Source organism: Homo sapiens, chromosome 9, assembly GCF_000001405.40.
Source record: "Homo sapiens chromosome 9, GRCh38.p14 Primary Assembly".
Lineage (NCBI taxonomy): Eukaryota > Metazoa > Chordata > Mammalia > Primates > Hominidae > Homo > Homo sapiens.
The window spans coordinates 94,861,324-94,884,054 of NC_000009.12; the positions used below are offsets into that span (position 1 = coordinate 94,861,324).

Sequence of the window (22,731 nt, forward strand, 5' to 3'; positions counted from 1 at the left end):
CAAATTAATATGATGTGGGGGCATATGGAGAAATGGTGATGGGCAGAAAAGAAGATGAAGAGAGAAACATATACTGGTTCTTTCCTGTGTATTCATCTGTTACTGACACAGAGTCATCATTAGTGCCACAATGAGTATCAGGGATGGGTCATCTCCAGTTGAACTCCCTTAATTTACAGATTAAGCAACCAAGGTCAACAACGACTTCCATGACAACAGAGCCAAGCTGGCACTCAGGTCTCTTCACACCTGGCCTGTGCTTTCCTGCTCCACCAGGCTGCCAGGGGTGGTTCCCATGAGCTGTTTTAGGCCCATTTTTGGAAAAAGAGTCATTTGGTTTCATTTGTCTTAGACTAGATCCCAGAGATGTTATTTACTGTTCCCAACCCCCGATATAAAACCACTGAATGTGCAGGCCCTCTCATCAGCCAGTGCTTGACGAGTAGTACACCTGGTGCAGCCTGGATTCCACAGCCATCCTCCCTGTAACTGCATGGGTCGGGTCCTCCGTGCTTCTGTAGGACCTGCTCTTCTGAAGCACGTTCTGCGAGTGAAGGCTGCACTACGTCTTTCATGAGGCTAGACGGTGCTCTTCTTGTCCTCAGAGTTGTTTGTTGTTTGGTTGGATTTTAAAAACTCAACAACGGCTTTGTTTATGAAAAGCAGCTTACTAGGAAAGTTGCTTCATCCTGTGATCGTGGCTAGTTTGTGAGTGATTAAATTCCCTGGCCTCCTCTTTGGAAGCAATGACCAGTCATTCTGTTGGTTTATTACTATTTCACAACATAGGAAGCAGAGCACACCACCTCTACCTAACAGTTTAACTTGAAACACCTCATCAGAGTATGTGAGTGAGACTTCACATGTGCCTGTTGCATAGTAAAAAGGACGTTTCTTTCAAAGTCACTGGGCTGGCTGAGCAGGACCCCCACAGAAAAACAGTGTTCTTGGGCCTCAGGCATACCTCAGGGCGATGCTCAGGGATGTCTGAGCAATGTCAAGCCTGTTAGATGCATGGCAGGGAGGATCTGGAGCACAGATTGATCTCTCAGATGTGGGGTGAATGGGGAGGTAAATCATCCTTTAAAGGGACTCTTTTTCAAGGCTGAGAAACCATGTCCTGAGAAAAGGGAGGGCTCTGTTTCCAGAGGCCACACGTCTGGTTGACCTCCTTCCAGTCTCCTTGAACATGCTCTGTTCATTACTGAAACAGCGGTTTGCCTGCGACTGGTCCCCACCCTTGAGGATGCTCAGCCAGTTTCCACTGCATCTCCAGGTTCTGCCCCTCCTGCAAGGCCCACCTTAAGGGCCAGCGCCTCCCTGGAACCTTCTCCCAGAGTCTCCGTCCTCCCTGTTTTTGGTTTCTGGATTCCATCCCCACTTGCAATCACACTGCACAGTTTTGCACTTTGTTGCCTCATGTTGTTTCCTCTGGGTGGATGTGTTGGGAGAGAGGATAGGTGGTGCGTGTTTGTCCTTTCTCAGTGGCAAACTCACTAACTTCCTAAGGACAAGAACTCCGTCTTGGACTTCTTTATATTCTCTCATAGTGTTAGGCTTAATTCTCGGGACAAAGTATATGCGCACAAATACTTGATCATTCACTAGAAAAGAGTTTCAGTGTGTTCGTCGAGTAATAGGTTTAAAAAGACACACATAAAGTCTACATGGACTTGTTTTCCAAATTATTTTCAAAAGCATAATGGCAAGATTTAATTTGGTTGTGCGTGACAGAACACTTGAAATAATGACTTAGGTAAGACAGAAGTTTCCTTCTTTCCCCATATGAAACAAGGGCACAGGTAGAGAGGCCAGGGTGGAGTGGGAACCGGGGCTGCTTCTCGCTTCTCTCCTGCTGCTCTACCATCCTAGCCTATGATTTCTTTCTCTCCTCTCCCCTCTCTTCCCCTCCCCTCCCCTCTCCTCTCTCTGTTTCCCTCTTCTTTCTCTTTTTCTCTTTTTTTTTTTTTTTTTTGAGACGGAGTCTCGCTCTGTCACCCAGGCTGGAGTGCAGTGGCGTGGTCTCGGCTCACTGCCAGCTCTGCCTCCTGGGTTCATGCCATTCTCCTGCCTCAGCCTCCCGAATAGCTGGGACTACAGGCGCCCACCACCACGCCTGGCTAATTTTTTATATTTTTAGTAGAGATGGGGTTTTGCCATGTTGGCTAGGCTGGTCTCAAACTCCTAACCTCAGGTGATCCGCCTGCATGGCCTCCCAAAGTGTTGGGATTACAGGTGCATGCCACAACGCCCAGCTAATTTTTGAATTTTTAGTAGAGACAGGGTTTTGCCATGTTGGCCAGGCTAGTCTTGAACTCCTGGCCTCAAGTGATCCACCCGCCTCGGCCTCCCAAAGTGCTGGGATTACAGACGTGAGCCACCACGCCTGGCCATAGCATATGATTTTCATTCTCAGGGTCAACTCATAGTACATAATAGCTTTTGGAAATGCAGCAAGTGTATGTGTATGCACATTGTAGGCAGCAGGAAGGAGGAAAGGAGGAAGAAGAAAGAGTGAAAGGCCTGCACCAACTGTCCTTCAAGGAGCTTTCCCAGAAGCTGCTGCAGAATACTTTCGCTTGCATCTTACCAGTTCAAACCTAGTGACACTTAGCTGCAAGGGAGGTTGGAGAATACAGGCTTCATTCTAGATAGCCATGTATTCAGTGGAAACTTGGGGGTACTGAGGAAGAAGGGGGAAAATAGCTGGATACTCCCACACATGGGCCAATTTGGATGAAATAAGGTATGCTGAAATAACTGTCTTTTTAGCCTTATCAGACCCTTTATGAATTCCTCAGTGAGCCACTTTTTGCATCTGCTATGTTCTGTGGTAATTATTAGAGATAGAACAGAGAAAAGACTGATATGGCCTTTACTCTCAGAAAGATGACAATTCAGCATGGGGAGACAATACACAGGAGGACAAATAAATGAACGAAATAATTATGAGATAATAGTAAGTACTATATGAAAAAAGTCACATGGTCTTGGTTTAAAAACTTTTCCATTTATTGGCTATTACTCAGTTGCTTATTATATGAATGAGACATTCAGTCTTCATCAAAGCTATTTTGGTTTCTCTTTTGGATTGTGCCAGTAAATCTCTATGAGTTTTTTAGAGGGGAAAAAAATGCGTTAAAAATTGCTTTGCTGGACCATTCATAAGAGGATTTATTTAGACTGGAAAGTTTTACGCTGACATTTCTAAAAAGTTTATATCTGGGTATGTTTATATTAATTAAGGTTTTATTTATATAATATGAATGCACATTTTCAGGAGCCATTTATTTAAACATGTAAAGACCATTAAGAAAAGTGTTGTCAGTAATAGAAGAGACTTCTAATGGTATGTGTTTAATAAAGCAATGTAATTTATAAAATACTTAGAAAAATATTAATGTTTTATACTTTTTTCCCAAGGTAGGAATTTTTATTTTCCTGCATTTCATACACAACAGTATAATTCAGTTATTTTAATTTTATAATAGGTTGCTGTTAGAGCCAGATCTGTCTTTGCAGGAGAGATTTTTTTAAAATGTGAGTAAAACAAAGAGCCATCAGCAACACTTGTGTGGCTTTGATTTGATGTACTTTTTAACACTCCACGCTGATTTCTGGAGTCTTGTACTAAAATTGCTTAGGGTTAAGGAGCTATTTTATACAATCTTCATTTTACGACTCCTTCATTAACACACACTCGAGTAATTTTCTAGTGTCTAACACTAATTTTCAGCTATTTAAATCCATGGTTTATCATCTCCTAACTATGATGAAGACCAGAATCTGGAGAAAAAAGGGAATCTGCATTGTTTGGAATATCTTTAAATAAGAAATCCTAGAGAATGGTTCTGGATTTTACATGTAGAAACGTTAATCAACAGCAATAAACTCTGTGCTGACGACATATTTAAAACAAATGAGGACTTAGGAAAAAACAGGAAATTTGACCAAACGACTCTCCTAGTAACAGGTTTTGTGTGTCTTTGTTAAGAGCATCGCAGCTTGTTTTAATTCTTTTTTTACTTCCTTTCCAAAATTTGATGTTAAGTTTCTTCACAGTTTTATATACAGCTTTTATTTAATAACCACTCTTCACTTCAAACGAACTGATTTCTGTAACAGGAATTACAAATGAAAGGAATCTGTAATGAAATTGAAATGCTGCATTTCAGTCCATAGGCATATTGGTGTTATAAATTGCTGATTAGTGAGTCTTTTGCTAGGCTAGGGCTTAAACTGCTTTCAAGCCCACTTTTAATTGGTAACATTACTTGGCATTTTGTAGGGTGGAAATGCCTTTTGCTTACCATTCTTAGCCTTATTTTTATATTCTTAATTTAAACTTGACCCTTTGTTGTCACTGTAATGCAAGAAACCATTCCTGTTTAATCTTGGACAGCTGCATATGTTTAGAGACTATATGCATAGGTTCTCACAGAAATCTGACCTAAAACAGACAGATGTTGGAACTCTTATGTAAAAATCTATTCTAAACAATCTGGGCTACTGCTAGACAGGAATGCCAAACATTTCCAACCGCAAATTATACTTGATAATAACCACCTTGATAGCAGAAAGCAGCAGACCCCTGTTCCATGACAGGATCTAGAGGAAGGTAACAGGTCTTTGGCATTTTAACTCAGATTTGCTACATTTACAGAGATGAGGGCCATTGCAAATGGCATCATTGTGAAAATTAGAAACTATTAATTTACGTACAGAAATTCTCCGAACACAAAAGTCTTTATTCTCTTTTTCCATGTAACCAGACCGTAGCAAGGAGTCACTGACTGGGAAGCAGGAGTCGGCCTGAAGCCAGGAGGGCCGAGCACACAAAGAGCCATGTGGCTCAAGGGGGAGATGGACATGCGTGCCCTTTTCAAGTTTCTGAAATCAGTGTATTTCTGAAGAATCATTTAAATAAGCTCACCAGCGTGTTTTATTTTGTGAAATGTGGGGCATGCCGGTTATGAAATGGGGACTCTGAAATGTGATACATCCATCTTAACCAGCTCAGGGTTTATTCAATTCTTCCAGCCCTAATCCTATTAACTCTCATGCACAAAGGAAATACAGGACTCCTCTCTGATGATTCTACCCAGGCCTCCTGGCATTTGGAAACCAAACTTTAAATTTTACAAATGATGTCTACTAGTTCATTAAAAACTAATCATAATAATGTTTTTAATAAACTAATAGGCTTTACATGTAAAATCTAAAATTTGAAGGTAGCTTCAAGCATCAAGGAAGCTACCTTTCAAAATTTTAGATTGTTTACTTTAAGAAAAGGCATTAGAAGAGATTGATGATTTCAATCAGTATATAGAATTGTAGGATTTTTATAAAAACAATTTATTTGAATATGGAAATTTTTGGTGTGAAGTACATCAAATATAAGTCTTTTTCAAACCAAATCTTTGGTTTTACAAATAAAGCTTATTGGTTGATTAAAAATACAGCCAGCATCAATGTAACCAGTGTTCAAATTGGATTTTTTAGACTGTTTACTTAAGGGATTTTGAAGAGTTTGGTGACTCATAATCAGTTTATAAAATGTGAGGATTTTTTAATAGCAGCCTTATTTAAAATAAGTCAAAATGTTGGTGTGAAATGCATGAAACTTATTTCTGGCTGTATGTCATTTGGACATAAATCTAACCCAGCAAAATTCCAAGATCTAATTATGATGCTATGGGAAGCTAATCTCATTGCAGTGAAGATGAGCTAATGACACATTAGTCCATATTGTATTATATACTTTTCAGTCTGCTGCCTGCTATTTTGATTAAATTTACTTCCTACCATTCAGATTTGAAACAGCAAAGCCTTTCTGTTATTACCTATCAAGTTTATAAAGCTTTTCTCTGAAATTTTGAAGTGTTTTAGATTTCCTTCACTTAACAAAATTTTATACAACGCTTAATGTAAAATCACAGAAGATTTGCATTTATCCCCTTTCTGTTTAGAAGTACTTGCTATTTCCAGGTACCAGGCTGTAGTCAGCACGGCCCACTCTCGGCCGAGGTGGCCTGGAATGTCTAGTCATTTCAGTTTACGTAACAGTTTCCCTGGCCTGTTTGCTTTCAGAGGTCACTTCAGTGTCAGCCTCAGCAGTCCACGTATAAGTCTGCCTGTTCCACACGATTCACAGAGGGAAAGAAAATACTGTATCTGAGGCATTCTTCCTACTTTGCGTAGCCCATATTATTTGAATGTACATTAAAACAGTGATAACATTCACCTCATACACTGAAGAGTAGATTTGCTTTTCTTTCTGATTTCTTATTCTGTCAGACTCTTTTCCTGACTGGAAGACACCTAGTTTTCTAGCCAGGATAGCTGAATGCTCCCTTTGCAAACACCTTGGCCTGAAGTTAGAATGAAACTGTAGTCAGCACCCCTTATCATTCTTCAGAAAGTCTTCCCAGCCCTGATAGGATCTGTTCTGATTCGGAATATCAGGGAACATTTCTTGGTGAATAAACCTGGCTTCTTATATACTGGTGCAGTCACTTCCCTGTAACGAGGTAATTTAAGCCAGTTGCCTTTCATTTCAACCATGTCAAAGTATCAAATAAAGCTATAACTTCAGACCAGCCAGGAAAATGAGAGGCCGGACAGAGTAACATGTTTATAATATAAATCCTTCCTGTTTTCTCAACCCATGCTCCCCTGGCTGTTTTCCATTCTGACAGAACACTCTGGAGATTTGCCTACAGACAGTGACCACCAATTTAAAGATTTGTTGATGACTAAGAAAAATTCCAAAGCTGCAAATGAACGAATCCAATGCTGACTAAAACAACTGACCAAAATTACTAATTCCTAGGCTGCTTTAGCACGAATGGTCATAACAACTGGGATAGCAGGCCTGTGTCACTCATTCCCTAGTAAAGCAGCTTGGAGGCCACAGGTGACTTCCTCTTCTTTCCAGACTGAGATGTACCAGAAATAGTGCAGTTCACCAGTTTGGGGAAGGCAGTTGTCTGGGAGTAATCATACCTGCAAATCACTTGATCTCAAGGACTGTGCTTGCTGACTTGAGAACATCTATTTTCTTCAATTTTAGATGTAACACGGCTACCTTGTACTCACTTTGAGTCTCACCGAATTCCCGTGCATTGAGGGTCCACTGGAATTCTTTGTTCATGGGCATTTTGACTGCTAGTATGGATGAGGTGGTGAGAAATGGTGGCAGACACACATAATTTGTGTGTCCCATATTTTCATTTTGCACCAAGCTTCTTTGCTCCCATGCATGCTCCATTGCTGCATCAGATTTCACTTACAAAGCGTAGGTCCAAAGATAACATTAACAGGAGTTTCAAGACAGTGACAGCAGATCATTAAACCAAGTGTGGGATGAGTGGGGCCTTGTGACTACACAGGCCAATGCAGTGGAAGCTCCCTATGTTACCTTCCCTGATTTCATTCCTTTCCCTGCCCCTCTCCCAGCAACCACTATAATTTTCTATTCTCATGTGTATCTTTATTATTTTACTTCATGTGTATTCGGAATGTATTTAGTATTGCTTGCCATATTTTAAAACTTAATGTGGACAGTGTCATTAGGAACCTGCAGCTTGTTTTTTCCTCTCAAAACGTTTACTGTATGTTTTTGGCCAGGCATGGGGGCTCTCGCCTATAATCCCAGCACTTTGGGAGGCCAGTGCAGGTGGATCACTTGAGGTCAGGAGTTCGAGACCAGCCTGGCCAGCATGGTGAAACCCCTTCTCTACTAAAAATACAAAAATTAGCTGGGCATGGTGGTGTGTACCTGTAATTCCAGCTACTTGGGAGGCTGAGGCAAGATAATCCCTGGAACCTGGGAGGCAGAGGCTGCAGTGAGCCAAGACTGCGCCACTTCACTCAAACCTGGGTGACAGAGCAAGACTCCGTCTCAAAAAATAAAAATAAAAAATAAATAAAAATAAAGACATTTGCTGTATGTTTTAAAAATTTGTCCATGTTGCTGTGGCAATAGCCTTTGTGTCCAGTTTAATTTTATGTGTCTGAAGTTCCAAGTTTTTGATCCTTTAAGTTGTTGACTGTTAGTGAATGCCCTATTTCTAGCTTGGGTGGGGTGCATGTAGTGATTAGCTTTTGAGGCTGTATTTAACCAAAAATTTGTTTGGAGACTTGAGTCATCAACCCTTATCTGTTGTATTGAGTTTCCACTCAGCCCATTGTCTGGGCGGAATGTGGGCTGGAAAAGTTTACTAGTGTCTCTTGGCAATCAATTGCTGTGGGATGGCACAGCCCACATAGAATGGGGTTGGTAATGTTTTTTGGGTTAGACCATTTACCTTCAAATGAAATTGAATTAGTGTAAAAGGAAGCCTGTAGAAATATAGAATCAAAGCCAGATACGGCTCGTGTTACCCAGAAGCAGAATGAATGATTACTTATCTGTAGAATGTCATCTGAGTACAGCGTATCTGCTGTGAATCTCTCTCCACAGATTTTTCCTTTAGGTAATCATTGCCCAATCTCATTATACTCATTACTTTTTACAGTTTGTAATATTAAGTGTGACCCTTTGATAGGAGTGGCATTATCAAATTGATTTCTCCCCTAATAGGAAAGATGGAACATGATTGGGCACTTCGTCCTCAGGCAGGAGAGGGAGGAATAGAAGCCATGAATTTTTTTTTTTTTTTTTTTTTTTTTTTTTTTTTTGAGAAAGAGTTTCGTTCTTATTGCCTAAGCTGGAATGCAATGGTGCGATCTCGGCTCACTGCAACCTCCGCCTCCTGGGTTCAAGCGATTCTCCTGCCTCAACCTCCCAAGTAGCTAGGATTATAGGCACACGCCACCATGCCTGGCTAATTTTTTGTATTTTTAGTAGAAACGGGGTTTCACCATGTTAGCCAGGCTTGTCTCGAACTCCTGACCTCAGGTGATCTGCCCGCCTCCGCCTCCCAAAGTGTTGGGATTAGAGGCGTGAGCCACCGCGCCCAGCTGAAGACATTAATTATTTTAAAAGGGAAGGGGGGCAGTCAAAACATGAATTTTTTTAAGGAGAAGAGTATCGAGAATTAATAATAATCATTTTCATTTCTAGACTACCAGTCTGTCTGGCAGATGCTGAGTGGCTTACATACATTCAAATCCCATTCAGTCCTCACAACAACCCCAAATGATAGGTATTTGTTTTATTTTATAAATGAGAAGTTTAGACACAAAGTTCCCTCAAGGTCCCAGATTTGGTGATGGGAAGGCTGGTATTTGAACCCAGAGGCTACAGAGGCAGGACTGCACATATTCCAGTAAGCCAAGCTTGCTGATGCTACAGTTTAGCAGTGAGCCAGCCTTGTCTCAGGCAGGGGTCACCACTGGTGCCTGGTGCCAGGTGATGACTAGATGTACGCTGTGACATTTGCGGATAGTGAAGATATAAGTTGGATCTGGGTCGGCCAAGTGGGAAAAGTAGTAAAATGTTAGTGGTTATGTGGTTTCTAAGGAAGAGCCAGAAAAATTAAAGTCACTATCTTTTGGGTTTTTATAGACCTGCCTTTGGCTTCAAAGGATCGCTGCCCTACTTGAGGTCTGTCTGTGTCTGGCTGGCCTTCATAAGGGTGTTCGGGCTGCTGCCCTCCTCTCTCTGCCCTGATTGGACTAGGCCATTGTCCGCTCCCTCAGCAGTAAAGTAGTGCACATGTGGGCTGTTCCTCTTTCTTTCCACTCCTTTTTCAGCCCTCCTCCTCCACTCTTCCTAATGTGGGTGTGGGCGCAGGCGCGACTCCCAGTTCCATTCTCTGCAAAGGTCTGTAGCCTGGAGGGCATTCTGATGCCCCACCCTGACACCATATTTTTGAGCCTGTGTCAGCAGCCTTTCTACTCACTCTTATTATATCCTTTCATATGACCTTGATTCAACTTGCTATCTTTAGCTTTGCTCTCTTAACCACAGGCACAGGTAATGCCACCACTCAAGTGATCACTTTATCTACAGGCCTCTGTTTTAAACATGTCTTTTATTTATCATCTACCCAGGAACCTCTCTGGTTTGATCACATGATTTTCAGACTTCCTGACATCTGAGTGCGGGACATACCACCCTGCGTAATGGTGGCTGATTTTAATCTTCTTGGCCACAATAAATCTGACACATACCTCAAGCCAATGGCATGCTCATCTTGATATTTTGATCCCATTTCCTTTACCACAGAGATTGTCTGATTGAAGAAAGTAGCTCAGCATGTGCTGTTTTTGGTTTTACTAATGTTGGAGTGTCAGATTGGCATTCCAGCACACTTGAATTTCTGCAACCTCTTATCAACTTGATTGTTACAGACTTAAAAGTATTTTGCCTATCTGATATTTATTGGTACTGAAGTTTGGTTAATTTTTTTTTTCCTATCTTGCATCTCATTCATCAAAGTAACAAGAAATATGGGCTGGGCATGGTGGTTCACGCCTGTAATCCCAGCACTTTCAGAGGCTGAGGCCAGTGGATCACTTGAGCCCAGGAGTTTGAAACCAGCCTAGGCAACATGGCAAAACCCTGTCTCTATACAAAATACTAAAGTTAACCAGGCATGTTTGTGTGTGCTTGTAGTCCCAGCTACTCGGGAGGCTGAGGTGGGAGGATCATCTGAGCTTGGGGAGGTCGAAGCAGCAGTGAGCCCTGATTGTGCCACTGCACTCCAGCCTGGGCAACAGAGGGAGACCCTGTCTCAAAGAAGAAAAAAAAGACGAAATTTTCCTCCTAGTTTTTTCTAGCTCAGCAAGACACCTATAGGAAACATATGGTTCTAGAGTCAGCAAAAGTAGTGTCTAGAATTTCCGTGTCACTTTCCTCCCCCAGGTCTTTTTGGGATGAGTTTTTCTGGGTATATGAATAAGTGATCCTACAAGTGAGGCGTGTGTTTAAAATGGATCGATGGCAGGGCGAACCATCACGCACTCTGGCAGAGATCTAAACGGGGGCAGTAGTCATTCTTCAGTCGTGTTTTTCTTTTGGTTGGTTGGTTTTTAAAGGTCATCTGTCTAACCCCTCATTTTACAGAGGCGGAAACAGGCCAAGAAAGGTTGCCTTACATCGCTACTCAGAGAATTACATGGCAAAAATGGGCCCAAACCCGGGGCTCATGAGTGCATGTTCTCAGAACCCCTAGGAGGGATTTCAAAACCCAAGTCCCACATGATTCTGGATCATTAACTCAACAAGCAGCAGACATGCCTCTTTAAGGCAAAAGTTCTATGTTCCATCAGTGAGCTTCTCATACCACCGTGTCTCCTATATTCTTCAGTAAAAGACTTTAATATCTAAAACTCCTTTAACCTCAAATCCTGTTATCCCCAAATGAGGCAATAACTTACTCGGTGAGATGTGTGCACCATCCTGCTCAGTTTGTGAATGCTTCATTACATTTATATGGATGGTATATTTTCCAAGAGCTAGATAAAATATTTCCTCTTCTCAAGTAGCTGCCTACTCATTTGGAAAGAAAAGACGTGAAAGATGAACAAACAGCCATTAAGTGCAATCATTGGTGCCTTAAAACTTTAAGGAAAATAAAAATCACTGGAAGTCGGGGCAGTCACGGGAGGCATCCAGAGAGCTTTCTCACTCACAAGAGGGTTAAGGTCTTTACTGGCAGGTTAAGTAGCCAGGCAGGAAGATTTGTCAAAGAGGAACCCAGAGTCCAGGAGAGGCAATAAGGAAAGGAAATATATCCAGGGGCAGTGAAGTATAACACAAATAAATAGGTTGAGGCGGATAGCAGAGGAGCCGATGATCCAAAGAGAAGGCAACAAGGAAAGGGTGGGGAAAGGATATGAGGGGAAAAAAAACAGGGAGGAAAAAACTGAAAATGAATCACCTAATTAATGGGTGGGAATACTGGCTGATGGTTTCCAGGGGCATTGTTTCTAGTCCAGTTATCTGTCAGAAATGCTTTGGATTCATGGCCAAAGGAAATTTAGGAGAAACCTCCCAGATAAAATACTTGAATGCTTTCCCCAAGCTTCTATTTTTACTTGTCTTACTTCAAAGACTACGAAAGACAGTGTTATACCTTTTGACCAAGAATATAATTTGAAAGTCCTGATTCCAGAATTCTTTGGAATTAACAAATATGTGGTGTGGTCCTTATCTTATTATGTTGGGAAGCACCTGACATCTTTGGAGCCAGAGCATAACTTGATAAATAACAGTTGCATGAGTGGTTAGGAGATAACTCTGAGAAGGAGCTGGGGACTTTGCACAGATTCAAAGAAGAGACAGAAGAGGGAAACTGCTGCCTTCACATCATTTCTCCCTTCCTTTGTATCTGGTTTATTCATGAGAAATTATGAATCAACCTGAAGAATCTGAGCAGTTATTTGTAGACCTTAAAGAACAAATTTAGTTTCCTTTGGTTTATTATGTTTACATATTTAATATATTGATTGAACAAAGAGTGACCGAATGCTTAATATTTTTTCAAGCAACTTCTTTGATATGATATTGTCTTATTCTTTGTTTCATCAAGATGCTATACAAATTTTCAGGTAGTAGAAGTTTCAGTAAATGATATATATTGCTGACATGTTTAGTCAAGTTATAGCCACTACACACAGTAAAGTGAGAAGATTATACATCTTCTCTCAATGGAGGATGAATAAACTATTAGTAGTTTATTGAGTACATTCCTTTTTGTGTATACCTGGGATGTATACACACAAAAAAGGAAGAATGATAGGAAACATGTAAAGTATATTAGAAATAACTATGTTTTATTTTGTGATCATGGAGAAATATGGGTTCACTTTAATATTGAATTGAAAAAATAAAAATGTGATTAGAAATTTTTGTATTTAATGAGTCATTAGATATGATTATAAATTTTTCAAAAAGCATTATACAGTTCTCCAATGTTATATACCAGGCAGCACTGTGAGTGTTCTCAAAGGCATTGCTCAGTCTCCACTCCCTTTTTTAATCCAGGAAAAGTACTAATGATTTAATATTTTTCTACAAGAATATCCCACTTTCAGAGGTTTTTATTATTTTTTAAAGAGAAAGTTGGTTACAAACAGCATCTAAAAGAACATTCCTTTAAAAAAAAAGCCACAGGAAAATCGAGTTATTTTTATAATGATAATACTTTATACAGATCTGTGGTCTTTCATCTAAGAACTTTCAAGCACTTTTGAAATGTTGACTCATCAATCCGTGACACACTTAGCAGATTGGGCAGTAATTCTGCTTCCATTTGGTTTCAAAGAACTCACTGTGTCCTAAGGTATGCGGATGCTTTTTTTAAAAGAATTATTGTTTTGATTTCTTCCCTTTTTCTTTTTTTAAATTTTATTTTATTTTTTATTTCTTGTTAAAGGCCAGAAGAAATATGGCTTGGTCCCAACCCACTAGGAACTCAGTGTGATGAAGGCAGGAGCCACAGAAAAGTTCTTCCAATTCCCAATAACACATGCTACGACTCAAAAACCAGAGACGGAAATCTCTACATATTTTGAACAGTCCAGAAAGGCATTCAGAAGATTTGAGCCTTAAATTATTCCAAGATACAGAAGGCAGACTTGCTTTGCTGAATTGACATTTTAATCAGTATTTCCTTATTTATTTTTTAACAAGGCAACTATATTATTTATAATATCCTGCCAAACATGAATGCATGCCTTTCACCTGTGTAAGGGGCTCAAGGATGGATTCTTGGCTGAAGAATTCCTCTGGAAATATTTCCCAGGCCAAAGGTGGGAAAATAGGCTGCCAGTAATTGGAAGTTTTATGAAGTATGCATTAAGATTTTATTTATTAATAGTCTCAAGATTTAGCCTTATCTTTCCAATTTTCTTTGATAGGTAAAATCAGTAGCCTTTCTGCTACCCTTTAGGGTGTTAAAGCAGTGAGTTGTGTTGGGGGTTATTTTTCAACCCAGGGTCCATGTTTTTTCACCCACATGATTTTTAATTACTTCACTTCCAGTTAAAGAATGGTATGAAAGTACTGTTTATATGTCTTGTTAAAATAAAAACTTAGACAAATTAAATTTAACAGAGTTTAATTGAGCAAGAAAAAAAAAAAAAAAAAAAAAAAAAGACTCATGAAATCAGGCAGCTCCCAGAGTCAAAATGGATTCAGAGACTTGGGCTGCCACATGGTCAGATAAGATTTATGGACCAGAAAAAGGAAAGTGATACACAGAAAACAGAAGTAAGGTAGAGAAACAGCTGAATTGGTTTATACCTCGACCTTTGCCTTATTTGAAGACAGTTTGAATAGTTGGCCACCTGTGAGTGGTTGAAGTAAGGCTGGAGTGGTTGGCTGAGCCATTGTTATAGAAGCACACTCCTCAGTTACGTTTTCAGTTTGTTATGTACTAAGATTGTAGTTCATTTCTAAGAACTGAAGTAGGTGAGTACGTATGCTTTCTCAGGCTAAATTTTAGTTTGATTTCAGAATTCCACCTGTTTGGTCGGCCTCTCAGTTTTGAGAGATTAACCTAAATTCTGAGCATGGGCACCACTCTCATTACAGTTGTAAATGACTCCTTTGTTCTGAGTATGGAATTCACAGATGACAATGTGAAACTAGCTGAATAATTCTTTCTTACTTACCTAGTTGAAGTGAGACCATTCAACACTCAATAGATAGCTGCATACAAAACATTTAAGACGTGAGAAGACACAAGGCACCAGAGTTACTATTATGATGACTTCCAAGAGGATGATATCAAAAGAGCAAGGAGTTCACAAGCATTCTTATGAAACAAACCAAACCAAATGAAACAAGTCACAATTGAGGCAATATAGGCAGTTCAACAGTATTTGAGTCTAATTGGTCATAGTCCTTGTTCAGGGTCTGATGGTGATTAAGGACCACAGTTGCTTGTATAATGGCCTGATTGAAAGAGGTATTCATTTTCATTGTTAGCCTGGTAACACAAGTCATAATAACCCGGAGACATACCTAGAATATATTTAAAGATGACAAAACCTTGGAAAACCCAAGCTTGCCATCCACCATTGAGGATGCCTGCAGACCAACTGTTAGTTGCTCTCATAAACACATCAGTTGCTTTTTCTTTTCTTTTCTTTTTTTTTTTTTTGGAGATGGAGTCTCGCTTTATCCCCCAGGCTGGAGTGCAATGGCGCGATCTTGGCTCACTGCAAGCTCCACCTCCTGGGTTCACACCATTCTTCTGCCTCAGCCTCCCGAGTAGCTGGGACTACAGGCACCCGCCACCACACCTGGCTAATTTTTTGTATTTTTAGTAGAGACGAGGTTTCACCGTGTTAGCCAGGTTGGTCTCGATCTCCTGACCTCGTGATCTGCCTGCCTTGGCCTCCCAAAGTGCTGGGATTACAGGCGTGAACCACTGCACCTAGCCGTGTTCCCTTCTTTTAGGAGATTAATTTCCTTAGTATGTTTGGTGGCAGTATCTAAGGCTACCTTTTAAATTAAGCCTTCTGTAGTAACAAAATCAGGGGAGAGATACTCAGTTTTCCTCAGTACCAAATATAAGCCCCCAACTAGAGCAAAAAGGAGCCCTAAAGTTGCATGATGTTCCATTAAGTGTTTTGGTTGAATGCATATATTGTTATCCACCTTTCAGAGAGGGACATCTACCCATCTGAACCCCTGGGAGGTCTGACTGTCTACAAAATCCAAGATTTTTCCCAATTTACAGATTATCTTTAAATTCTATACAACTGATACCCCACTACTGCCAAAAGTGAGCCCCCAGGAGCCCCACCGGAGTTTCTTCTTAGTTGAAAATAGTTTATCTATTTTAAGGTTGGGGGTAATTTCAGTTATTGATTATTTTGGCCTCTGATCCTAGGAGCTGTTATGGGAATTTGTAGGGGAAGCTATTTGAATGGCCGGAGTGAGCCAGGCTAAATAGCAACATCCAAACCAGACAGGAAGCAGATTTTCCTCAGACCCAATAGAAGCCCATGGGGATTGGAAAAGAGGGTTACCTAGTTGCATTTGTGCAAGGGTCAGTTAAATTTATTTGTCTGTAAATCTGCATAGCTCCTGAACAAAGTTCAGTGGGTAATGTACTTTTTTGGGTTCGTTTATAGCATGCGGTAAGGGTGTATAGCCACATTTAGTAAAAAAATGACCCTACTGGATTTTTTTTTCTTTTCTTTTTTTTTTTTTTTGAGACAGTTTTGCTGTGTCGCCCAGGCTGGAGTGCAGTGGTGCGATCTCGGCTTACTGCAACCTCTGCCTCTGGGCTCAAGCGATTCTCTGCCCCAGGCTCTGGAGTAACTGGGACTACAGGCGCCCAGCACCATACCTGGCTAACTTTTGTATTTTTAGTAGAGACAGGGTTTCACCATGTTGGCCAGGCTGGTCTGGAACTCCTGACCTCAAGTGATCTGCCCACCTTGGCCTCCTAAAGTGCTAGAATTACAGGCATGAGCCACTGTTCCCAACCTCCTACTGGATTTAATCTGGTAACATTATACAAGCAATTACTTGTATCCATATAGCTAATTCCCAGGTCTCAAGTGCGTGATGTCTAGAAGCACAATATACCTTTTGCAGGCATCACTTGGATAGGTTTTCTATGTTTGGTAACAACCAGGTTATTCATTGGAAAAGTTAAAGTGCTGTTTCTAGCGAGTGCAGGAAAGCAAATGAAGCAGTCATTTTTAGAATATCAAGGATAGGTTTCCACTCCCTCCTCCTTTGGAGTTTGAATCACTGCCATTGGGAACATGGAGAGGCATCAATGGAATTGTTTTCTGATTTTTTGGCATTTGCCCACAAACCCAACAGTTACTCTGGTTTTGTGCTAGAACATAAGGTAGAGCTAATGCCATCTAGTGATTATGGTCCCATGGATTTTCCTGTAGGAAAAAGGAAAGTATTGGGATAAAAGATTAGAGGAAAAAAGCAAAAAGCACAAGGCTTTCATAATGGCAGAAAAGTCTTGATCTGTGATCTTGGGAAAGCTGTCCGCATCTAGGATGCTGTCCACTTTCGGGGAGAAGTATTCCTGGTCAGCTTTACCTTAAAGTCTCCAACAGGTGTTCTAAGAGTCTGAAGGGGCCCTTTTGTGTTGTGAGATGTGGACCCAAGGTTACAGGTGTGGGTGTGAGAAGAACTTGGTGTGGTCCTTTCCAACAGGGTTCAAGGGCAGTCTTCCTCTGATGTTATTTCCCGAAGACCCAATTTCCAGGCTCTAGACCATGAAGGATTTGATTGTACTTAGTCAGTGGATCACAAAAAGCTTCCTGTACCTGGTAAAAATACACTTTGGCATAATGCATTAAAACCTTGCGTTATTTAGTCATATCAGAGTTTAGGAGAGTGGAACATCCATTAGGTTCTACTATTAGGGGCATACGTTTCCAGTGACTATTTCATAAGGGGCCAACTTATGTTTTCCAGTGGGAGTGGATCTGATTGCCATTTAATGCCAACAGTAGTACCTTTGGCCAAGACAACCCAATTGGCTCAGCTAACTTTGCCAATTTCAGTTTTAAGATACCATTTGTTCTTTCAGCCTTTCTGTAACTGCCCAGTGGGTTCCCCTTGCCCACTGCCTAGACAGAGCTGATTTATCAAGACAGGGGAATTGCAATAGAGAAAGAGTAATTCACGCAGAGCTGGCTTTGTGGGAGACCGGAGTTTTATTATTACTCAAATCAGTTTCCTCAGCATTCGAGGATCAGAGTTTTTAAGGGTAATTGGGTGGGTGGAAGAACTCAGCTGTCTTCTTGTGCTGAGTCAGTTCCTGGGTGGGGACCACAAGATCAGATGAGCCAGTTTATCAATCTGGGTGGTGACAGCTGATCCAGGGTCTGCAAAATATCTCAAGCACTGATCTTAGGAGCAGTTTAGGGAGGGTTGGAATCTTGTAGCCTCCAGCTGTATGACTCCTAAACTACAATTTCTAATCTTCAGGCTAATTTATTAGTCCTAAAAAGGCCGTCTAGTACCCAGGCAAGAAGGAGGTTTGTTTTGGGAAAGGGTTGTTAGCATCTTTGTTTTAAACTATAAACTAAGTAATTCCCAAAGTTAGTTCAGCATATGTGCAGGAATGAACAAGGACAGCTTGGAGGTTAGAAACAAGATGGAGTTGGTTAGCTCAGATCTCTTTCACTGTCTCAGTTATAATTTTGCAAGTGTGGTTTCATTTCCAGAAGACTGAGGGTGATAAAGGCAATGGTAGTATCACTGCATCCACAACACCTTATTTAACTGCTTTTAACTTACCCAGTAAAATGAGTTTCCCTATCTATAGCTGGAGATTTCTCCAGGAATACCCCATAAAGGAAAAACATTTTCTAATAATTTCTTAGCTGCTGGCACAGCACCAGCTTTTCTACAAAGAAAGACTCGATTTGACCAGAAAACATACAAACTATTACAAAAACTGATACCTCAGCAAGGGCGATAACTGAATAAAGTCCATTTGTAAATGTTCAAATGGTCCATCAGATGGTGGAAATATACTATCTGAAGTTTTTATTGTTTTCCTCGGATTATGAGTTTGGTAAATCAAACATTGGTTGTAACCCATTTTAGCAGTTTTGGAACATATACCTCACCAATTTTTTTTATAATTTGGATCATTTTGTGTGTTCCATGATGAGTTGTGGAGTGCAGGCCTTTTAACAACGGAAGCTTTAAAGACTCAGGAAGGACCAAGTGGTTGTCAGGCCCTTTGTGAATCCACGCTTAACATTGAATTTACATTTTTTTAGATACCAACTTTGTTTTTCCAAATTAAATGCATTGCACTGTTTATTAAATAGATCACCGTATGGGAGTTGATTTGGATCAGTCTTATGGAGTTCATTCAGATTGCATATTCTCACAGTGTCAGCACTAGCTGATTTAACATGCACATCGGCTAGGGCATTCCTTTGATATTCAGATTCAGTTTTACAGGTATCATCTTCAATCTTAATCATAACGATCTGTGATGATAACAGTGTTAACAGGATAGCTGAAAGGAGTTCATCTAACTGGAGTCCCAATAGAAGTGAGAAACCCCTATTGTTTATTTTTTAATAATGTAATTTTTATTATGCATATTTGTCTTTTTTTTTCTTTTTCTTTTTCTTTTTTTCTTTTCTTTTTTTTTTTTTAGACAGGGTCTCTCTCTGTTGCCCAGGCTGGAGTGCCATGGCGTGACCATGGCTCACTGCAGCGTCGACCTCCCAGGCTCAACCCATCCTCCCACCTCAGCCCCCAGAGTAGCTGGGACTACAGGCGCAAGTCACCATGCCAAGATAATTTGTAGAGAAGGGGTTTTGCCATGTTGCCCAGGCTGGTTTTGAACTTCTGGGCTCAAGCAGTCTGCCTGCCTTGGCATCCCAAAGTGTTGGGATTACAGGCATGAGCCATCGCACCTGGTCCCATTGTTTCCATAATGTGCCAAAATTGTGTACTACTCTAAAAGCATATCTGCTATCTTTTTAAATATTTACTGACGTGTCCTTAACTATATGACAAGCTTGGGTGGGAGCAAAAAGCTCTGCCAGCTGAGCGGACTTAAATTGAGGAAGAGTTCCCTTCTCTATTAACTCATTTTGGGCAGTAACAACATACCCTGCCTGATATTTTCCTTCTGAGACTTTGGCATAGGACCCACGAACAAAAAGTATCAACTCAGGATTATCCAATGGAGCATCTCATAAATCAACACAAGGGGCTACTAGTTTGGATACTACACCTACACAATTGTGATCTTTACCACAGTCAGTCAGAGGTAATGGAGTAGCAGGGTTAAGTAGGTTTTAGATGGAGTAGCATTTTAGATGGAGGTCAGAAGGAGGCAGGAGAAAATTTCATAAGATCATAAGATGTTAGTTTTCTTGCTGAAAAATGCTGAGCTTGGTTGGAATTTAATAGACTTTCCACAGCATGTGGAATTTGCAAATTAAGTTCATTCCCTAAAACCAGCTCAGATGAAACTTGTAGCAACTTGGTGGCTGCTGCTGCTTCTATTTTTTTTTTTTTTTTAAGACACAGGATCTGTCTTAGGCTTCCTTTAGTGGTGAAACAGTGTGGCCTAATGGGAGGAGGCTTATTGGTAGACTAACAGAGAAGCAGACAACTCTTTTCCAGTGTCCTGCTTATTTGCAAGGAAGGCAGACATCTCGGGGAAAAGAATTTCTTGTTCTAGGATCTATCTCTTGGTTGTGATTTAAAATAAAAAAGAAGGTTCCTTTGGTCTCAGCCCCTGTAACTGTTGTAATTGGTGAGACATAAGCTTGGTAGTCTTTTGGGTTTTTTCTTGCTCCAGAGTCCTCTCAAAATGTTCAGCTAAGGCCACCAATTCAGTCATGTCTGTAACTTCCCATCCAGGTTTATGTTTTTTTAATTAAACTGCTAAGTTTGGGACAGAGTCCATTTATAAATAGAGTAGTTGATGCAGTTCCTGCAGGAAATATTCCTTGCTGTTATTTTGAGCCCCAAATGCTTCACAAGCAGTGTTTCTAAGTGAGTTCTGTCGTCCGAAACTTCTTTTGTCTGTATGGTGGACCAGTCAATTTTTTTGTGTGGAAAAATCTTAGGAATTGAATCTAAAATGATTTTGGCAATGTTTCTAGCTTATTTCAGCCATTCCTGTGAGGGGGTTTTGGAGGGGTCTTTAATACCCTCCTCAGGTTGGCTCCATTCTGCAGCTGTCACTCATTTTCAAGCTTCCACAGGTCCCAGTATCATGTGAATAAACTGGTAAAGGTCAGGGAGTCCTGGATTGTAAGCTCTTATGAGTAAATTTTTGAGGACTTCCCCTTGGGCTAGGGAGTCCTTTACTATGGCTCTAAGCTCAGCTTTAGAACATGGAGTGAAGGTGGTTATGGCGGGAAGGCCTGGCTGATCACAAGCTCTTACTTTGTAAGACATCTGTCCAACTTCTCTTTTTTCGTCATCTTTAAAGGGTGAAAGGGTAATTTGACTAGAAGATTAGTGGAGCAAATTATTTAGGTAGAGATGGGTAAAGAGAGGAAACAGGGTTATTTCAGAGTACAGTCCTCTTTCGTCATGTTCTTAGTCTGTTGTTTAAAATGTTTGCTTGCTTTTTGCAAAGAATCATTTAAGGAGGCAATTTTTAATTTGTTTAGCCTTTTAGATGCCTTGCATACCAATTAAAGAACACATCTCATTGTTTTGTGGGGTTTTTAAAATCCCCTTTTTTCTAATACGCCTCCCAACTAAACAATCTTATCCAAAATAAAACTTAACTATTGGCTGGGTGGGGTGGCTCACGCCTGTAATCCCAGCACTTTGGGAGGCCAAGGCAGGTGGATCACTTGAGGTCAGGAGTTCAAGACCAGCCTGGCTAGTATGTTGAAACCCAGTCTCTACTAAAAATACAAAAATTAGCTGGATGTGGTGGTGGGAGCCTGTAATCCCAGCTCCTGGGGAGGCTGAGGCAGGAGAATCTCTTGAACGCAGAAGGCGGAAGTTGCAGTGAGCCAAGATTGTGCCATTGCATTCCAGCCTGGGCGTCGCGAGACTCCGTCTCAAAAAAACAAAGCAAAACAAAAAACAGAAAATAAAAACCAAACTTCCCTATTGTGGTCATCTTAATTCTAAGTTGTCTCCAGAAAGGTTAACCCGTTTTTCCAAAAATACGTACATTGTGGACCCATAATTTTTACGGATAAATTTAGCTGGAGTCTCAGAAGCTACAGTCTCTGATTCTTTGGATTGATATGAACACATTATCAAAAAGTTACTTATCTGAAGTCTGGGGCTTCTAAATTCAATCTGATGCTATACCCAGTGCAGTATAAATACTGCTTACATCAACTCAGGGAGCTGAGAACACAAGTCAGTGGAGCTTGGGATTTGAGAGAAAACTCACCCACAAACCTCCAGTTACAAACAAGAGAGCGCACACAATTGGCTCTGCAGGTGCCCCGCTTCGTTGCCTGCTGTTCCAAGGAGTCACTGGAATTGTACTTCACTCTTCACTTCTACTCCAGATCTGATGAAAGAAAAACTTTAGACACATTTAACAGAGTTTAATTGAGCAAGGAAAAAAATGATTTGCAAATCGAACAGCCTTCAGAATCAAAACAGATTCAGAGAAACTTTGGGGCTACCACATGAGCAGATAAGATTTATGGACCAAAAAAAGAAAAAGGAAAATGAGGTACATAAACAGCTGGACTGGTTCCAGCTTGACTTTGCCAGTATGTTAAGGGAGTTTGAACAGTTGGCTGCCTGTCAATGGTTGAAGTGTGGCTAGAGTGATGGGCTGAGGCTCAGCTTTTGTTACAGAAGAAACTCCTCAGGTTTTCAGTTTGTTACACACTAAGTTAAGTTACAATTCAGACTGAAGAACTCAAGGAAGCAAGTATTAATACCAAGGCTTTCTCAGAACAAATTTTAGTTGGATTTAACAGTATAGATCATGATGTATTAGAGTAATAAAGTTCTAAGAATAAGTACCTCTAAGTATCAGAAAAATATATTTCTCTCATCTAACATAAGTTTATTCTTATGAGACAGTTTCAGTTGATGGCAGAGGATGTTAGTTTAAAATGTTAAACATAAGTTGAGGGTTGACCTAGAGATCTGAGAAATTGTATCTGACATACTGAAGACCATGTGAAGAGGATGAGCCAGGAGACCACACAGAATGGTGGGTATTGTGGGACCTCCATCCCCGTCAATATTCTGAAAACTGGGACCCAGAGCAAACTTCTGGCCACCCCTTGATCCATCAGGACTAGACCCCAAGATAGAGTTTCCTCATGGGTTGCTTCTACCTTGACATTTCACGAGGGGCATCCCTGCTT

The 22,731-nt window shown here is 40.7% G+C and overlaps 1 protein-coding gene across 51 annotated transcripts in view, besides 3 other annotated features; it reads left to right on the plus strand.

The window, feature by feature from the left end:
• Positions 1–22,731, plus strand: part of AOPEP (aminopeptidase O (putative)) — a 423,526-nt gene that overhangs the window by 134,625 nt on the left and 266,170 nt on the right. The window contains exon 6 of one of the 51 annotated variants that reach the window (XM_011519130.3): positions 13,329–14,000. The exons of the other annotated variants lie outside the window; for them this stretch is intronic. Coding sequence (XP_011517432.1) covers positions 13,329–13,467 — 139 coding nt within the window. The 3' untranslated portion in view covers positions 13,468–14,000. Of the gene's footprint in view, positions 1–13,328; positions 14,001–22,731 lie in introns of those variants that run through there. 51 annotated transcript variants of the gene reach the window in all.
• Positions 4,797–4,966: an enhancer, noted in NCBI's record as "experimental_110389 CRE fragment used in MPRA reporter constructs". NCBI's record gives its function as "activates a minimal promoter by MPRAs in K562 erythroleukemia cells, with activity observed for the introgressed 9:97628487 or rs7848054 variant allele {active_cell/tissue: K562}" and the evidence as "EXISTENCE:reporter gene assay evidence [ECO:0000049][PMID:34662402]".
• Position 4,882: a transcriptional cis regulatory region, noted in NCBI's record as "Neanderthal adaptively introgressed variant 9:97628487 (GRCh37/hg19 assembly coordinates) or rs7848054 in the experimental_110389 CRE". NCBI's record gives its function as "modulates activity of the experimental_110389 enhancer by MPRAs in K562 erythroleukemia cells {active_cell/tissue: K562}" and the evidence as "EXISTENCE:reporter gene assay evidence [ECO:0000049][PMID:34662402]".
• Positions 10,414–10,913: an enhancer, noted in NCBI's record as "H3K27ac hESC enhancer chr9:97634019-97634518 (GRCh37/hg19 assembly coordinates)". NCBI's record gives its function as "activates a minimal SCP1, AML or CMV promoter by ChIP-STARR-seq in primed H9 embryonic stem cells {active_cell/tissue: H9 hESC(primed)}" and the evidence as "EXISTENCE:reporter gene assay evidence [ECO:0000049][PMID:30033119]".